General features: G+C 43.1%; 1 protein-coding gene across 40 annotated transcripts in view; it reads right to left on the minus strand.

Annotated features, from left to right (window-relative positions):
• Nucleotides 1–15,129, minus strand: part of R3HDM2 (R3H domain containing 2) — a 177,378-nt gene that overhangs the window by 140,978 nt on the left and 21,271 nt on the right. For 31 of the 40 annotated variants that reach the window (XM_047428533.1, XM_047428528.1, XM_047428534.1 and 28 more), the window contains one exon: nucleotides 1,008–1,077. The exons of 7 other annotated variants lie outside the window; for them this stretch is intronic. Coding sequence is in view for 14 of the 33 variants with exons in the window: in XM_047428518.1 (XP_047284474.1) it covers nucleotides 1,008–1,077 (70 nt within the window). In the remaining 19 variants the exon portion in view is untranslated. Of the gene's footprint in view, nucleotides 1–1,007; nucleotides 1,078–3,315; nucleotides 3,335–4,891; nucleotides 5,316–15,129 lie in introns of those variants that run through there. 2 more of the 40 variants (XM_047428507.1, XM_047428511.1) reach the window with 2 other exon arrangements.

Below are 15,129 nucleotides of genomic sequence, written 5' to 3' on the forward strand. Positions count from 1 at the left end.
TCTTAAAGGTGAAAATACCTGTGAACAGTATCTCAAGCGGGAAGAAATCATGAGATTTCTGTTATCTATATTAATCACCTCTTAAGAAAGAATTCCCTAGTTATACATATTTAACTTATATGGATATTCATGCAAATACATTTTAACTATTTCAAAACATTTTATCTACTTTATAAAAAATTATAAGGCTGGGCGCGGTGGCTCACGCCTGTAAACCCAGCACTTTGGGAGGCCAAGGCGGGTGGATCACAAGGTCAGGAGTTCAAGACCAGCCTGGCCAACATGGTGAAACCCGTCTCTACTAAAAATACAAAAAAAATTAGCTGGGCATGGTGGTGGGCGCCTGTAATCCCAGCATCTAGGGAGGCTGAGGCAGGAGAATCATTTGAACTCAGGAGGCACAGGTTGCTGAGATCACGCCATTGCACTCCAGCCTGGGCCACAGGGCAAGACTCCGTTTCAAAAAAAATTAAAAAAAATTAGAGCCGGGCACGGTGGCTCACGCCTGTAATCCCAGCACTTTAAGGCTGAGGCGGCCAGGTCACCTAAGGTCGGGAGTTCCAGACCAGCCTGACCAACACGGAGAAACGCTGCCTCTATTAAAAATACAAAACTAGCCGGGCGTGGTGGTGCATGCCTGTAATCCCAGCAACTCGGGAAGCTGAGGCGGGAGAATCGCTTGAACCCGGGAGCGGAGGTTGCGGTGAGTTGAGATGGCGCCACTGCACTCCAGCCTTGGCAAAAAGAGCAAAACTTCATCTCAAAAAAAAAAAGGTGATCTGCCCACCTCAGCCTCCCAAAGTGCTGGGATTACAGGTGTGAGCCACCTCGCCTGGCACTGAACTCACTCTTGATGCACTCTCTGCATCTCAATTTCTTCATCTACTAAATGGGTACAATAACACTTCCAACACCATGGAGTTGTGTGAGGATTAAATGAGAACAGATGTATAACAATTTGTTGCCTGGAACACAGAAAGTGCTCCATAAATGTTATCTATTATTACCTGAATAAATGCTCAGCCTCCATGAGTCCAGTGCTGGAATGGCATCACATATAAGAAACAAGTCTAACCTCTGGGGGAGGAGGGGGAAAAAAAAAAACAAGTTAAAAGCAATTTTAAACCTTAATATATTAGATCCAATTCAAAATCCACAGCAGCACCTGTTAATATCATCTTTCCCAATTTCTTCAGCTCACAATGTTTCCCCTAACACTGCCCCTGCCCTGAACCCTCTATATCCATTCCCACTGTCAATTTACAATTAAAAAAACCCTGCATTTTGTTCCTCTCTACATTAACTCCCTCTTTGTATGAGCAGTTCTTGGCCTACCACTTTCTAACATAAATTAATCACCCAGTCTATTCCCTGAAATTCTTCAGCTCTTTTTTACTCATTAAAAAGAGTAGTCTAGGCCGGGCGCGGTGGCTCACGCCTGTAATCCCAGCACTTTGGGTGGCCGAGGCCGGTGGATCACTTGAGGTCAGGAGTTCAAGACCAGTCTGGTCAACATGGTGAAGCCTTGTCTCTACTAAAAATACAAAAAATTAGCCAGGCACGGTGGCATGTGCCTGTAATCCTAGCTGCTGGGGAGGCTGAGGCAGGAGAATCACTTGAACCCGGGAGACGGAGGTTGCAGTGAGCCGAGATCGCACCACTGCACTCCAGCCTGGGGGACAGAGTGAGACTCCGTCTCAAAAAAATAAATAAATAAATAAAATAAAAAATAAAAAAATAAAAAAGAGTAGTCTAGGCTGGGCACAGTGGCGCACGCCTGTAATCCCAGCACTTTGGGAGGCCCAGGCAGGTGGATCACGAGGTCAGGAGTTCAAGACCAGCCTGGCAAAGATGGTGAAACCCCGTCTCTACTGAAAAAACACAAAAATTAGCCAAGTGTGTTGGCGGGCGCCTGTAATCGCAGCTACTCAGAAGGCTGAGCCAGAGAATTGCTTGAACCCAGGAGGCAGAGGGTGCAGTGAGCTGAGATCATGCCACTGCACTCCAGGCTGGGTGACAGAGTGAGACTCTGTCTCAAAAAAAAAAAAAAAAAGAGTAGTCTAGGCTGCGCATGGTGGCTCACACCTGTAACCCCAGCACTTTACTTTGGGAGGCCAAAGCAGGTGGATCACCTACTGTTAAAAGTTCGAGATCAGCCTGGCCAATATGGTGAAACACCATCTCTACTAAAAATACAAAAAATTAGCTGGGCAAGGTGGCATGTACCTGTAATCTCAGCTACTTGGGAGGCTGAGGGAGGAGAATGGCTTGAACCCAGGAGACAGAAATTGCAGTGAGCCAAGATCACACCATTGCACTCCAGCCTGGGCAGCAAGAGCAAAACTCCATCTCAAAGAAAAAAAAAAAATTGTCTAGAACTGAGCAAACAAAACTAGGATCTCTCTTAATAGATGAGAAGTAGAAGCAAAAAGAGGCCAGAGGCAGAATTTTATTCTGTGAATATAAGTAGGCATTACAAGTACATAATTTAGTATCTCTTCACCCTAAAAGCAGTAGTTATTATTATTACAAGACCCTGAGGGCTGGCTGTTTAATCTATTTCAGGAGGCCACCATTGGAACCCTTAATATGCCCAAGTCAGTCTGTATTCTTGGAAGCCTTCAAAACACCCAAGCCCTACTGTGTTCTATGCTAAAGTGAGAATATCCCTAACTCACCATTTTGTTTTATATAACCCTGTTCCACAAATACCACATCATGAAAGTCTGCCCTCTTGATATCTTAACAAAGGTTTCTATGAAAAAGTTCTAGTTTTTTTTTATAGCCCCTGCACATCACGGTTTTGACATTAGGAATGTGGAGTAGTTGGCTAAAGTTGCGAAGGAATGGCCAGAGGATATTGCCTTTCCCCTTTTCACCACTAGTGCTGGTCCTAAAACACTCCTCCTGTGGTAAACTTTTTCCCATGTAATACCTTGTTCCCCCCTATGCAAAATATTTACTAGTTTCCTTTCCCCATTGGCACTCAAGCCATTCCCAGATACATCTAATTTTTAAGTGGGCACAGTGGGTTCACACTAAGAGCTTTGTCACACCAAGAGTTCACTCTCTAATTCTGATTAAGAGAATCAAGAGCAACATAATTTTGACTTTCTTGCCCTAATTGTAATCATATCATAATTAAAAGTGAAATACTGTGGGCCGGGCACAGTGGCTCACGCCTATAATCCCAGCACTTTGGGAGGCTAAGGCGGGCGAATCACGAGCTCAGGAGTTCGAGACCAGCCTGGCCAACACAGTGAAACCCCGTCTCTACTAAAAATACAAAAATTAGCTGGGCATGGTGGTGGGCACCTGTAATTCCAGCTACTCAGGAGGCTGAAGCAGGAAATCGCTTGAAACTGGTGGTGGGGGTGGGCAGGGGAGAGGGGCAGAGGTTGTAATGAGCCGAAATCATGCCACTTCACTCCAGCAGCCTAGGCAAAAGAGCGAGACTCTGCCTCAAAAAAAAAAAAAGAAAAAGAAAAAGAAATATTTTATTACCTTGTTCGTATCTGTACCTGCAATTCTAAACAGTGTCTGACACATGATAAGCACTGAAACAGTTTTCTAATTGTTTGGTGCATTTACAAAGCTAAGAAGTTACTTCCTCTGAGGTAAACTTGGGTTTCTTAAGGTGTTTAAAACTTATTTGTATAGCCAATAAAATGGCCAAACTGTCAAAACCTTGTTCTTTTCTTCATTCTAACAATCTGCCTTGTATCCTCAGAAATCTCTCTTCCTTTCTCTCTCTTTTTTTTTTTTGAGATGGAGTCTTACTCCGTCACACAGGCTGGAGTGCAGTGGCGTGATCTCGGCTCACTGCAACCTCCACCTCCTGGGTTCAAGCCATTCTCCTGCCTCAACCTCCCAAGTAGGTGGGATTACAGGTGCCCGCCACCATGCCCGGCTAATTTTTGTATTTTTAGTACCGACAAAGTTTCACCATGTTAGTCAGGCTGGTCTCAAACTCCTGACCTCAAGTGATCCGCCCACCTCAGCCTCCCAAAGTGCTGGGATTAGAGGCGTGAGCCACCGCACCCAGCCCTCTCTTCCTTTCTCAGAAGGTAAAATTTACACTTGGAAAATAAGATGGCAGTCATATCTGGCAGTTAACTGTTCTCTGCCTCTGTGGGGCCCAAATCCAATCTTCTGAGGCAGCAGCAATTGTCAAAGATCTGGCTACCAGCATAGCATTGAAGAGTGCTTCACAGCTTAGAACCATTTAGGCTAAATTGACCCAAGTAGCAAACACCTATAAGAGAATCACTGCTGATAAGACTTCTATGAAGGATTCCAAATGTCTTAAAGATAACTTCACAGGAGTGGAAAGGAGCTGAACTCAGCCATCTGACTACTGAAGCGTTCTATAAACCTTTAGGCCAGGCACGGTGGCTCACACTTGTAATCCCAGCACTTTGGGAGGCCGAGGTGGGTGGATCAGGAGGTCAGGAGTTTGAGACCAGCCTGGCTGGCGTGGTGAAACACCGTCTCTACTAAAAATACAAAAATTAGCGGGGCATGGTGGCGTGCACCTGTAATCTCAGCTTCTCGGGAGACTGAGGCAGCAGAATTGCTTGAACCCGAGAGGTGGAGGTTGCAGTGAGCTGAGATCATGCCACTGCACTTCAGCCTGGGCAACAGAGTGAGACTCTGTCTCAAAAAATAAAATAAAATAAAATAAAGCTTTAATAATGACCCCGTCACCAGAAAAACAGACACTTTGTCCTAGCCTTCTAATCAGCTGTATTTAGCAGCCAACATCCATCTTTTGCAATAAAATGCCACCTCTTAGTTCCTATTTCTATCAAATTATCACAGGTTTAGGCAATAGATAAGTCAGAAACTACAGTTAACTTGTCTAGGACCCAAGACAATTAATAAAACTTACTTGGAGAAGCAGCATAGCCTCTAGTCACCTGAAGACAAGTTTTAAAGATCCTAACAACTGGTAACACTTGGGCACACCAAAATGGCTGTAATCTGAAAAACAGCCACATGCCACTTCTAATGGTGTCATTATACTAAAAGTGACCTTCCCCCCTGAAAGTTTTTAAAGTAAGCTAAATCTTGAACAATGACTCCTACTCTTCTCTAAAATAGGAGCTATGACAGCTACCTTAATGGGATGCCCGATAAACTCAGGGCAAGGGGCTCACTGTGCTGACATTCTCACCTCACCTAGGACTTCCGCTGATTCATCCTGATGGACTGACAAGTCACTGACTTGCCAAAGAATCTTGTTTATTTCACATATAAAAACACTGTCTACTCCAGTGTGGCGATTCCTCAGGGATCTAGAACTAGAAATACCATTTGACCCAGCCATCCCATTACTGGGTATATACCCAAAGGATTATAAATCATGCTGCTATAAAGACACATGGACATGTATGTTTATTGTGGCACCATTCACAATAGCAAAGACTTGGAACCAACCCAAATGTCCAACAATGATAGACTGGATTAAGAAAATGTGGCACATATACACCATGGAATACTATGCAGCCATAAAAAAATGATGAGTTCATGTCCTTTGTAAGGACATCGATGAAGCTGGAAACCATCATTCTCAGCAAACTATCGCAAGGACAAAACACCAAACACCGCATGTTCTCACTCATAGGTGGGAATTGAACAATGAGAACACTTGGACACAGGAAGGGGAACATCACACACCGGGGCCTGTTGTGGGGTGGGGGGAAGGGGGAGGGATAGCATTAGGAGATATACCTAACGTAAATGACGAGTTAATGGGTGCAGCACACCATCATGGCACATGTATACATATATAACAAACCCGCACGTTGTGCACATGTACCCTAGAACTTAAAGTATAATAAAAATATATATTAAAAAAAAACAATAAACACTGTCTACTCAAGACAACTACCATCCAGACACCTTCTGCTCCTGCAGCAGAGCCCTTCCCTCTCTGACTTCATGGAGCAACTAGCAACAACAAAATACATATGTATATTTCAGGTCAATATTAGTAACTCTCTATAACTAACAAGCCATAAAGGGCTGGAAACAGAGCCCATAAAAGGACCAGAGTGTTAACCCTCAGAAATTGCCAATTTTTCAAAGAGATCAAAATCACCTGGGGAAGAAACAATAGCTTTTCAGCATTAACAGATGTTTGGTATTATTACGGTAATCTGAAAAATAGTTGCTAAGCTGGGACCTGAAAATATCAGTCCCCAGCCACACCAAATAATCACAGAAATATTTAAGTAAGTAAGCTTTGTTCTAACATGAACTTCAAAAAGAAAGACAAGTCAGGGCAATAAAAACAAGCAGAAAACATCCATTTCATTTAAAAAGAATGAAAGAGAGAAAGGGAAGGAGAAAAAGAGGAATAATAAAGAACTATGCCCATGTTTAACATGGCCACAGTTATGTGTAACAATTCCCATAAAGAAGTGCAGTTCGTCTCAAAAAAAAAAAAGAGTGTAGTTCATTTCCCCACCCCTTGAATATGAGCTGGCCTTGTGACTTGCTTCAACCATCAGAGTGCAGCATGAATGACACTGCGACCACCGAGCCCAGGCCTCAAGAGGCCGTTCAGTTTCCACTCAAAACCTCTTGGAACCTAACCATCATGCAAAGAAGCCAAGCCAGCCTGCAAGAGGCCATACCAACCTAGAGGACAGCTCTAGCCCAATGCTAGACATGTGAATGAGGCTATCCAGGTCCAACCAGCCCCTAGCTAACGTGCCAACTGAACACAAATGAGTGAGCCCAGCCAAAACCATGTGGAATAGAGGCAAACTGTGACAGAGTCTTGCTCAAATTGCCAGCCCACTTAAATCATAAACAAAGAATGCAGCTGACCATTGAACAAAATAGATTTATTACGAATGATAAAAATCGAGCTCTCAAGTGAAAATCAGAATTTTGAAAATCATGTAATCACTATGATGAGCTTGACAGTTTCTCAATACTTAAAGACTATTCTGCCAGGCACAGTGGCTCATGCCTGTAATCCCAGAATTTTGGGAGGCCAAGGTAGGTGGATCATTTGGGGTCAGGAGTTCGAGACCAGCCTGGCCAACATGGTGAAACCCCTGCCTCTACTAAAAATACAAAAATTAGCTGGGTGTGGTGGCAGGCACCTGTAGTCCCAGCTACTCGGGAGGCTGAGGCAGGAGATCACTTAGACCCGGGAGGTGGAGGTTGCAGTGAGCCAAGATCGAGCTGCTGCATTCCAGCCTGGGCAACAAAGCAAGACTCTGTGTCAAAAAAATAAAAGAAAAAGTGCATGCACAAGCCAGACACAGTGGCTTACACCTGTTATCCCAGCGCTTTGGGAGGCCGTGGCAGGTAGATCTTCTGAAGTCAGGAGTTAGAGACCATCCTGGCCAACATGGTGAAACCCCATCTCTACTAAAAATACAAAAATTAGCCAGACATGGTGACAGGCGCCTGTAATCCCAGCTACTCAGGAGACTGAGGCAGGAGAATCTCCTGAATCCGAGAGGCAGAGGTTGCAGTGAGCTGAAGTCCCACCACTGCACTCCAGCCTGGGCAAGAGAGCAAGACTCCATCTCAAAAAAAAAAAAAGTGCATACATATCCCACAATACTCTGCATGCATAAACAAAAATAAGGAAATGTTTTTGGAGATAAGAGTCTCACTCTGTCGCTCAGGCTGGAGTGCAGTGACGCCATTTCAGCTCATTGCAACCTCCACCTCCTGGGTTCAAGAAATTCTCATACCTCAGCCTCCCAAATAGCCATGCACCACCATGTCCAGCTAATTTTTATATTTTTAGTAGAGTTGGAGTTTCACCATGTTGGCCAGGCTGGTCTCAAACTCCTGGCCTCCCAGCCTGACCAAAATGGCGAAACCCCATCTCTACTAAAAATACAAAAATTAGCCAGGCGTGGTGGCAGGCGCTTGTAAATCTCAGCTACTCGGGAGGCTGAGGCGGGAGAATCACTTCAACCCGGGAGGCAGAGGCTGCAGTGAGCTGAGATCACAGCACTGTCCTCCAGTCTGGGCAACAAAGCAGGACTCTGTCTCCAAAAAAAAACTCCTGGCCTCAAGTGATCCACCTGCCTTGGCCTCCCAAAATGCTGGGATTACAGACATAAGCTACTGCAGCCAGCCAAAAATAAGGAAATTCTTGATGTATAATACTTAAAAGCTATATTGCTAAGTGAAAAAAGATGCAGAACCATTTTTGTAAAATGGGGGAAAATATACATATACATACTTGCCTTTTTTATGCTTATCAATGCATATAAAGCACAAAAACTGGTAATAACAGTTGCCTCTGGAGAGAGGCGTAGGAAGTGACTGGTTTGGGGGTATAAGAGCAAGATGGGGCCAGGCACGGTGGCTCATACCTGTAATCCCAGCACTTTAGGAGGCTGAGGCGGGTGGATCACCTGAGGTTAGGAGTTCGAGACCAGTCTGACCAACATGGTGAAACCTCGTCTCTACTAAAAATACGAAACAATTTGCCGGGTGCTGGTGGCTCACACCTGTAATCCTAGCACTTTGGGAGGCCGAGGTAGGTGGATCACGAAGTCAAGATATCGAGACCATCCTGGCCAACACTGTGAAATCCCGTATCTACTAAAAATACAAAAATTAGCTGGGCGTGATGGCGCACGCCTGTAATCCCAGCTACTTGGGAGGCTGAGGCAGGCAAATGGCTTGAACCTGGGAGGCGGAGGTTGTAGTGAGCCGAGATCACACCATTGCACTCCAGCCTGGGTGACAAGAGCGAAACTCAGTCTCAAAAAAAAATAAAAAATAAAAAAGAGCAAGATGGGGCCTGGCATGGTGGCTCACACCTGTTACTCCAGCACTTTGGGAGACAGGGGCGGGTGTATTGCTTGAGCTCAGGAATTCGAGACCAGCCTGGGCAACATGGCAAAAACCCGTCTCTTCTAAAAATACCAAAAATTAGCTGAGTGTGGTGGCTCACACCTGTAGTCCCAGCTCAACTTGTGAGGCTGAGGTGGGAGGAGGGAGGATCGCCTGAGCCCAGGAGGTGGAGGCTGCAGTGAGCCAAGATGATGCCACTACACTCCAGCCTGGGCGACAGAGTGAGACTCTGTCTCAAAAAAAAAAAGGCAGGATGGAAACTCCATTTCATACTTTTTTCTATCCTTAAAACTTTGAACCATATAAATGTAATACCAATTCAAACAGTAAATCCAAAAATGTATAAGAATTCTCATTTTACATAAGGAACAACTTCTCATATTTTCTCTAGTCTCAAAAAATATCCATCCCATGTGCTTACTTTGGCAGCACATATACTAAAAAAAAATAATAAAAATAAAATAAAAAAAGTCCACTCCTAATTTTTTTTTTTTTTTTTGAGATGGAGTTTTGCTCTTGTTGCCCAGGCTGGAGTGCAATGGCACGATCTTGGCTCACCACAACCTCTGCCTCCCGGGTTCAAGCGATTCTCCTGCCTCATCCTCCCGAGTAGCTGCGATTACAGGCATGCGCCACAACGCCCAGCTAATTTTGTATTTTTAGTAGAGATGGGGTTTCTCCATGTTGGTCAGGCTGGTCTCGAACTCCCAACCTCAGGTGATCCACCCGCCTCAGCCTCCCAAAGTGCTAGGATTACAGGCGTGAGCCACCGCGCCTGGCCATCCATTCCTAATTTTTAACTATAGGTTCAGCGCTACCTAAACAAGGTATCTAGCCAGGCACAGTGGCTCACACCTGTAATCCCAGCACTTTGGGAGGCCGAGGAGGGCAGATCACGAGGTCAAGAGATCGAGACCATCCTGGCCAACATGGTGAAACCTCGTCTCTATTAAAAATAAAATTTAAAAAAATTAAATGGGCATGGTGGCGTGCGCCTGTAGTCCCAGCTACTCAACAGGCTGAAACAGAATCACTTGAACCCAGGAGGTGGAGGTTGCAGTGAGCCGAGATTGTGCCACTGCACTCCAGCCCGGCACCAGAGCGAGACTCTGTCTCAAAACAAAAACAAACAAACAAAAGAAAACAAGGTATCTAGGTCAGCCATGTTGGCTCACACCTGTAATCCCCATACTTTGAGGCTGAGGCAGGAGGATCACTTGAACGCAGGAGTTCAATACCAGCTTGAAAAACATAATGAGACCCCATCTGTATTTGTAAAATACAGATTTTACAAAAAAATAAAACTTAAAAAAAAACAAGATATCTATAATTAATATGAGACAAAGATACCCACCCACTATGAAACCTTTGAATCTTTAAGTAGGTTAACTAATGATTCTGGGGTAGGGTCAGAATTTTCATCTTTTACATTATATACTTTTTTCCTTTCTTTCTCTTTTTTCAAGACAGGGTCTCACTCTGTCGCCCCAGCTAGAGTACAGTGACATGATCATAGCTCACTGTAACCTCAACCTCCTGGGCTCGAGTAATCTTCCCACCTCAGCCTCCCAAGCAGCTAGGACTACAGGTATGTGTCACAGCACACTCAAGTAATTTAAAAAATTTTTTGTAGAAATGCGGGTCTCACTGTGTTGACTAGGCTGGCTTTTATACTTTAAAATCATTTAAATTTCTCATAATGAGTACATATTACTTTTGTAATTTGAAAAATGCAAATTTCTATATGATTGAAGATGTTAAAGGAAAACCTACTGGCTGGGTGCAGTGGCTCATGCCTGTAATCTCAGAACTTTAGAAGGCCAAGACTGGAGCTTGAGATCAGGAGTTCGAGACCAGCCTGGGCAACATAGTGAGACCTTGTCTCTACTAAAAATAACAAAAATTAGCTGGGCATGGTGGTGTGTGCTGTAGTCTCAGCTACTGGGGAGGCTGAGGTGGGAAGATGGCTTAAGCCTGGAAGATCAAGACTGCAGTGAGCTATGATCACACCACTGCACTACAGCCTCGGTGACAGAGTGAGACTGTCTCAAAAAAAGAAGACAGACCAACCTACAGTCCAAATGTTGAATTGGAAATACTGACATGAACTTAGGATATACTTTATTTAAAAACAAACAAAAAATACCTTATTTCCTATAGAAAACTCCAAGAAACAATGACCAACACACTAAGCAAATGAATACCTTTTGCACCCAGATTGTGATCTCTAAACATCATTTCTCCATAAAAGGAACCAGGATTTGGGGGGCAATGTCTGATCCATGTTCAGAAATGAAAATGTAAAAGATGATCTTCGGTCATCTTGTCAGACCAGAAAGCAAGGAAGCTATCAAAGACTAACAGGATCACATCCAAAGGACATAGGAGCCAACTTGAAGAGGTTCCCATTTGCCAAAGATGAGACAATGAGACATTAATAAGGATAAAACTGAAAGTGGCCAGGCGCAGTGGCTCATGCCTGTAATCCCAGCATTTTGGGAGGCCAACACAGGCAGATCACCTGAGGTCGGGAGTTCAAAACCAGCCTGACCGACATGGTGAAACCCCATTTCTACTAAAAATACAAAATTAGCCAGGTGTGGTGGCAGGCGCCTGTAATCCCAGCTACTCGGGAGGCTGAGGCAGGAGAATCGCTTGAATCCAGGAGGCAGAGGTTGCAGTGAGCCGAGATCGCACCACTGCACTCCAGCCTGGGCAACAAGAGCGAAACTCCGTCTCAAAAAAAAAAAAAAAAAAACTGAAATTGGCTTAAACACATTAAATATATTTAAATTGAAGAGTCCATAATGACTATTTTTTAAAAACTCATCAGTCAACTTTAGAAAATGTTAATAAACAAACTAATTATTTTGAAAATGGTCATAACTGTTAATTAAAAGACTTAAGCATTTGTCTTTTCTGTCCTATACAAATTGTACCTCAGAGTAACCAAATAAGCGATGAGGGGAGTATCTTTTATAAAAAGTACTGCAGCTAAAAAAAAATTAAGAAATGATAGAATTTGAGTATCACCATTTATAATCTCTAATGAAGTTCAATGAAGTAAGGGATCTAGGCAATGATTATCAACAGCTGCTGACATCATAAAAGGGAGATTAATAGACATCACATGCCCTTGATGGAAGTATACAACACTGCATAAAGCATGCTAACCAAAAATATTGAATCTGAACCTGATCATCTAGATATAACTACCAATTTGAAGAAAATATGGGAGACAGAGAACATGTTAAATGACACCACAATAATGTCAATCAATTAATCCAGTTAACTGTGGGAAATTCTACTGGACAGATGACCCAATTTCTTTAATATATAAACTACGAAGGAAAATAAGTGAGGGAAAGTCTTTTAGAAAAAGAGATTTTAGGGTGGGCATGGTGGCCTGTAATCCCAGCACTTTGAGAGGCCAAGGCGGGCGGATTGCTTGCGGTCAGAATTTCGAGACCAGCCTGGCCAACATGGTGAAACCCCATCTCTACTAAAAACACAAAAAATTAGCTGGGCATGGTGATGGGCACGTGTAATCCCAGCTACCTGGGAAGCTGAGGCAGGAAAATCTCTTGAACCGGGGAGGTGGAGGTTGCAGTGAGCCAAGATCTCACCACTGCACTCCAGCCTGGGCAACAGAGCAAGACTCCTTCTCAAGAGAAAAAAAAAAAAATTAAAAGATGTTAAACATGCACTGACCAACTATAACAGACTTTATTTGGATCCTATTTTAAACATATAAGCTACTAAAAAAATCATGATACAATCAGTGAAATATGAACACCAGATATTTAATATTAAGGAATTTTTTTTTCTTTTTTTCTTTTTTGAGACAGAGTCTCACTCTGTTGCCCAGGCTGGAGTGCAGTGGCACAATCTCAGCTCACTGCAACCTCCACCCTCTGGGTTCAAGCAATTCTCCTGCCTCAGCCTCCCGAGTAGCTGGAATTACAGGCGTCTGCCACCGTGCCCAGCTAATTTTTTGTGTTTTTAGTAGAGATGGGGTTTCACCGTCTTGGCCAGGCTGGTCTTGAACTCCTGACCTCGTGATCCACCCGCCTCGGCCTCCCAAAGTGCTGGGATTACAGGCATGAGCCACCACACCCAGCCTGGAATTATTATTTTAAACGGGCAATTGGTTTTTTAAAGTCCTTATTTTTGTGCGTGTTTTTTTGTTTTCTTTTGTAGAGAAAAGGGTCTCGCTCTGTTACCCAGGCTAGAGTGCAGTTGTAAAATCACGGCTCACTGCAGCCTGAAACTCCTGGGCTCAAACAATCCTCTCAGCTCAGCCTCCCACATAGCTGGGGACTACAGGTGCGTGCCACCACATCCAGCTAATTTTTTGTTTTTCTGATGGTGGAGTCTCACTCTGTTGCCCAGGCTGGAGTGCAGTGGCGCAAACTCAGCTAACTGCAACCTCCACCTCCCAGGTTCAAGCCATTCTCCTGCCTCAGCCTCCTGAGTAGCTGAAATTACAGGCGTTTGCCACCACGCCCAGCTAGTTTTTATTATTTTAGGAAGAAACAAGGTTTCACCATGTTGGTCAGGCTGATCTCGAACTCCTAACCTCAAATGATCCTCCCACCTCGGCCTCCCAAAGTGCTGGCATTTCAGGTGCAAGCCACCATGCCTGGCCTAATTTTTAAAGTCTTTGTAGAGATGGGTTCTCACTGTATTGCTCAGGCTGGTCTTGAACTCCTGACCTCAAGTGATCCTCCCACTTCGGACTCCCAAAGTGCCAGGATTATAGGCATGAGCCACCGCACCTGCAATTCCTTATTTTTTTAGATACATGCTGATATATTTATAGGCAAAATAATATATCAAGGATTTGCTTCAAAATAATCAATAAGGGGCCGGGCTTGGTGGTTCCTGCCTGTAATCCCAGCACTTTGAGAGGCCAAGACAGGCGGATTGCTTAAGCTCAGGAGTTCGAGACCAGCCTGGGCAACATGGTTAAACCCTGTCTCTATTTAAAAACAAAAACAAAACAATAAGGGAGGTACTAGGAATATAGATGAAACAAAATTAATCATGAGCAGATAATTGCATATGGACATTCCTTATACCACTCTTGTTGCTTCTGAATACATACGAAATTTTCCATAGTAAAATGTTTCATAAAAGAGCAAATCTCAAAAAATATATATATATTTGAAATATGATGATCCATGAGAGTTCCACCCTCATGAGGGGATTAATGCTATTATTGAGGGAGTGGGTTAGTTAACTCAGGAGTGGATTACTGATTAAAAGGATGAGTTTGGCTTGAAAAAAAAAAGATGATTACTGAAATGAATTTTGTATACTAATCTTTAAAGCCTAGTTCAATTTCTACTTCTTCCACGATGCCTTTCTATATTGACTTCTCTCTTATTTTGTATCTGTTTGTACTCAGCAATTGACTTAATTAAATTATACTGCATATTGTTTCCATCACAGGATCTAATCCATTATATCCTGCTCATTAATTGTTCATTTTTTATCTCTATAGCTAGCCAGTCAGTAAGGTTCTTTAACACACACAAACCCTAAAATGATTATTAAGCCTCCTAATGATCCCAAGTACCTTATCTGACACTCAAGTTGTCTCAAAAAACCTTGGGACCTATGGAAAAATACAATATTCTTCCTTATCACCCCAATAGCCACTCTGCACTAAAATTAAGTTTTTACTCTAGTAAAACATACAATATTATCTTCTTCAAATTTTACACAGATCACACCAAAACAGTCTCTAGCCACTTAAGGCAAGCTAATACGCACCAGCTTTCCTTCTCCCAGAGTTCAAATGAGCATATTTATACTCTGTCACAGAAAGAGAATTATATACTACTAGATTTAAATAGAAGTTCTGTTAACTAACTGATAAAGTAGAGTGAAGTTATTTAATAAAAACTAGAGCTGAGAGGTGGGGCAAAAAAAAAAAAAGAAAAAGAAAAAAAAAATTGGCTGCAATACACAGAGAGCCTACCCAAAGGAAAAGTCACAAAACCCAGGAAAAAAAGAAATCACTACCTAATTGAAGACCAATTAAGACCACCTGGTCTACTGGAGTACCTACAAGCTTCAGAGATGACATATAGCCCCTTTATCCCTTTTGTAAAAAGTGTTAAGATAATTGGTTTATTCCTCTAATTATAAAAATAAATATTCTTTATGAATAGAAATAAGCTAAAGGAAAACAAAAATTTACCCCATAACCCCCTTCATAACTTTTTTGTCTCAGTAAGTTCTTTGAAGACAGCTCGTTTTTCCAAAGAAAACATGTCCCTC

This window comes from Homo sapiens, chromosome 12, assembly GCF_000001405.40.
Source record: "Homo sapiens chromosome 12, GRCh38.p14 Primary Assembly".
NCBI lineage: Eukaryota > Metazoa > Chordata > Mammalia > Primates > Hominidae > Homo > Homo sapiens.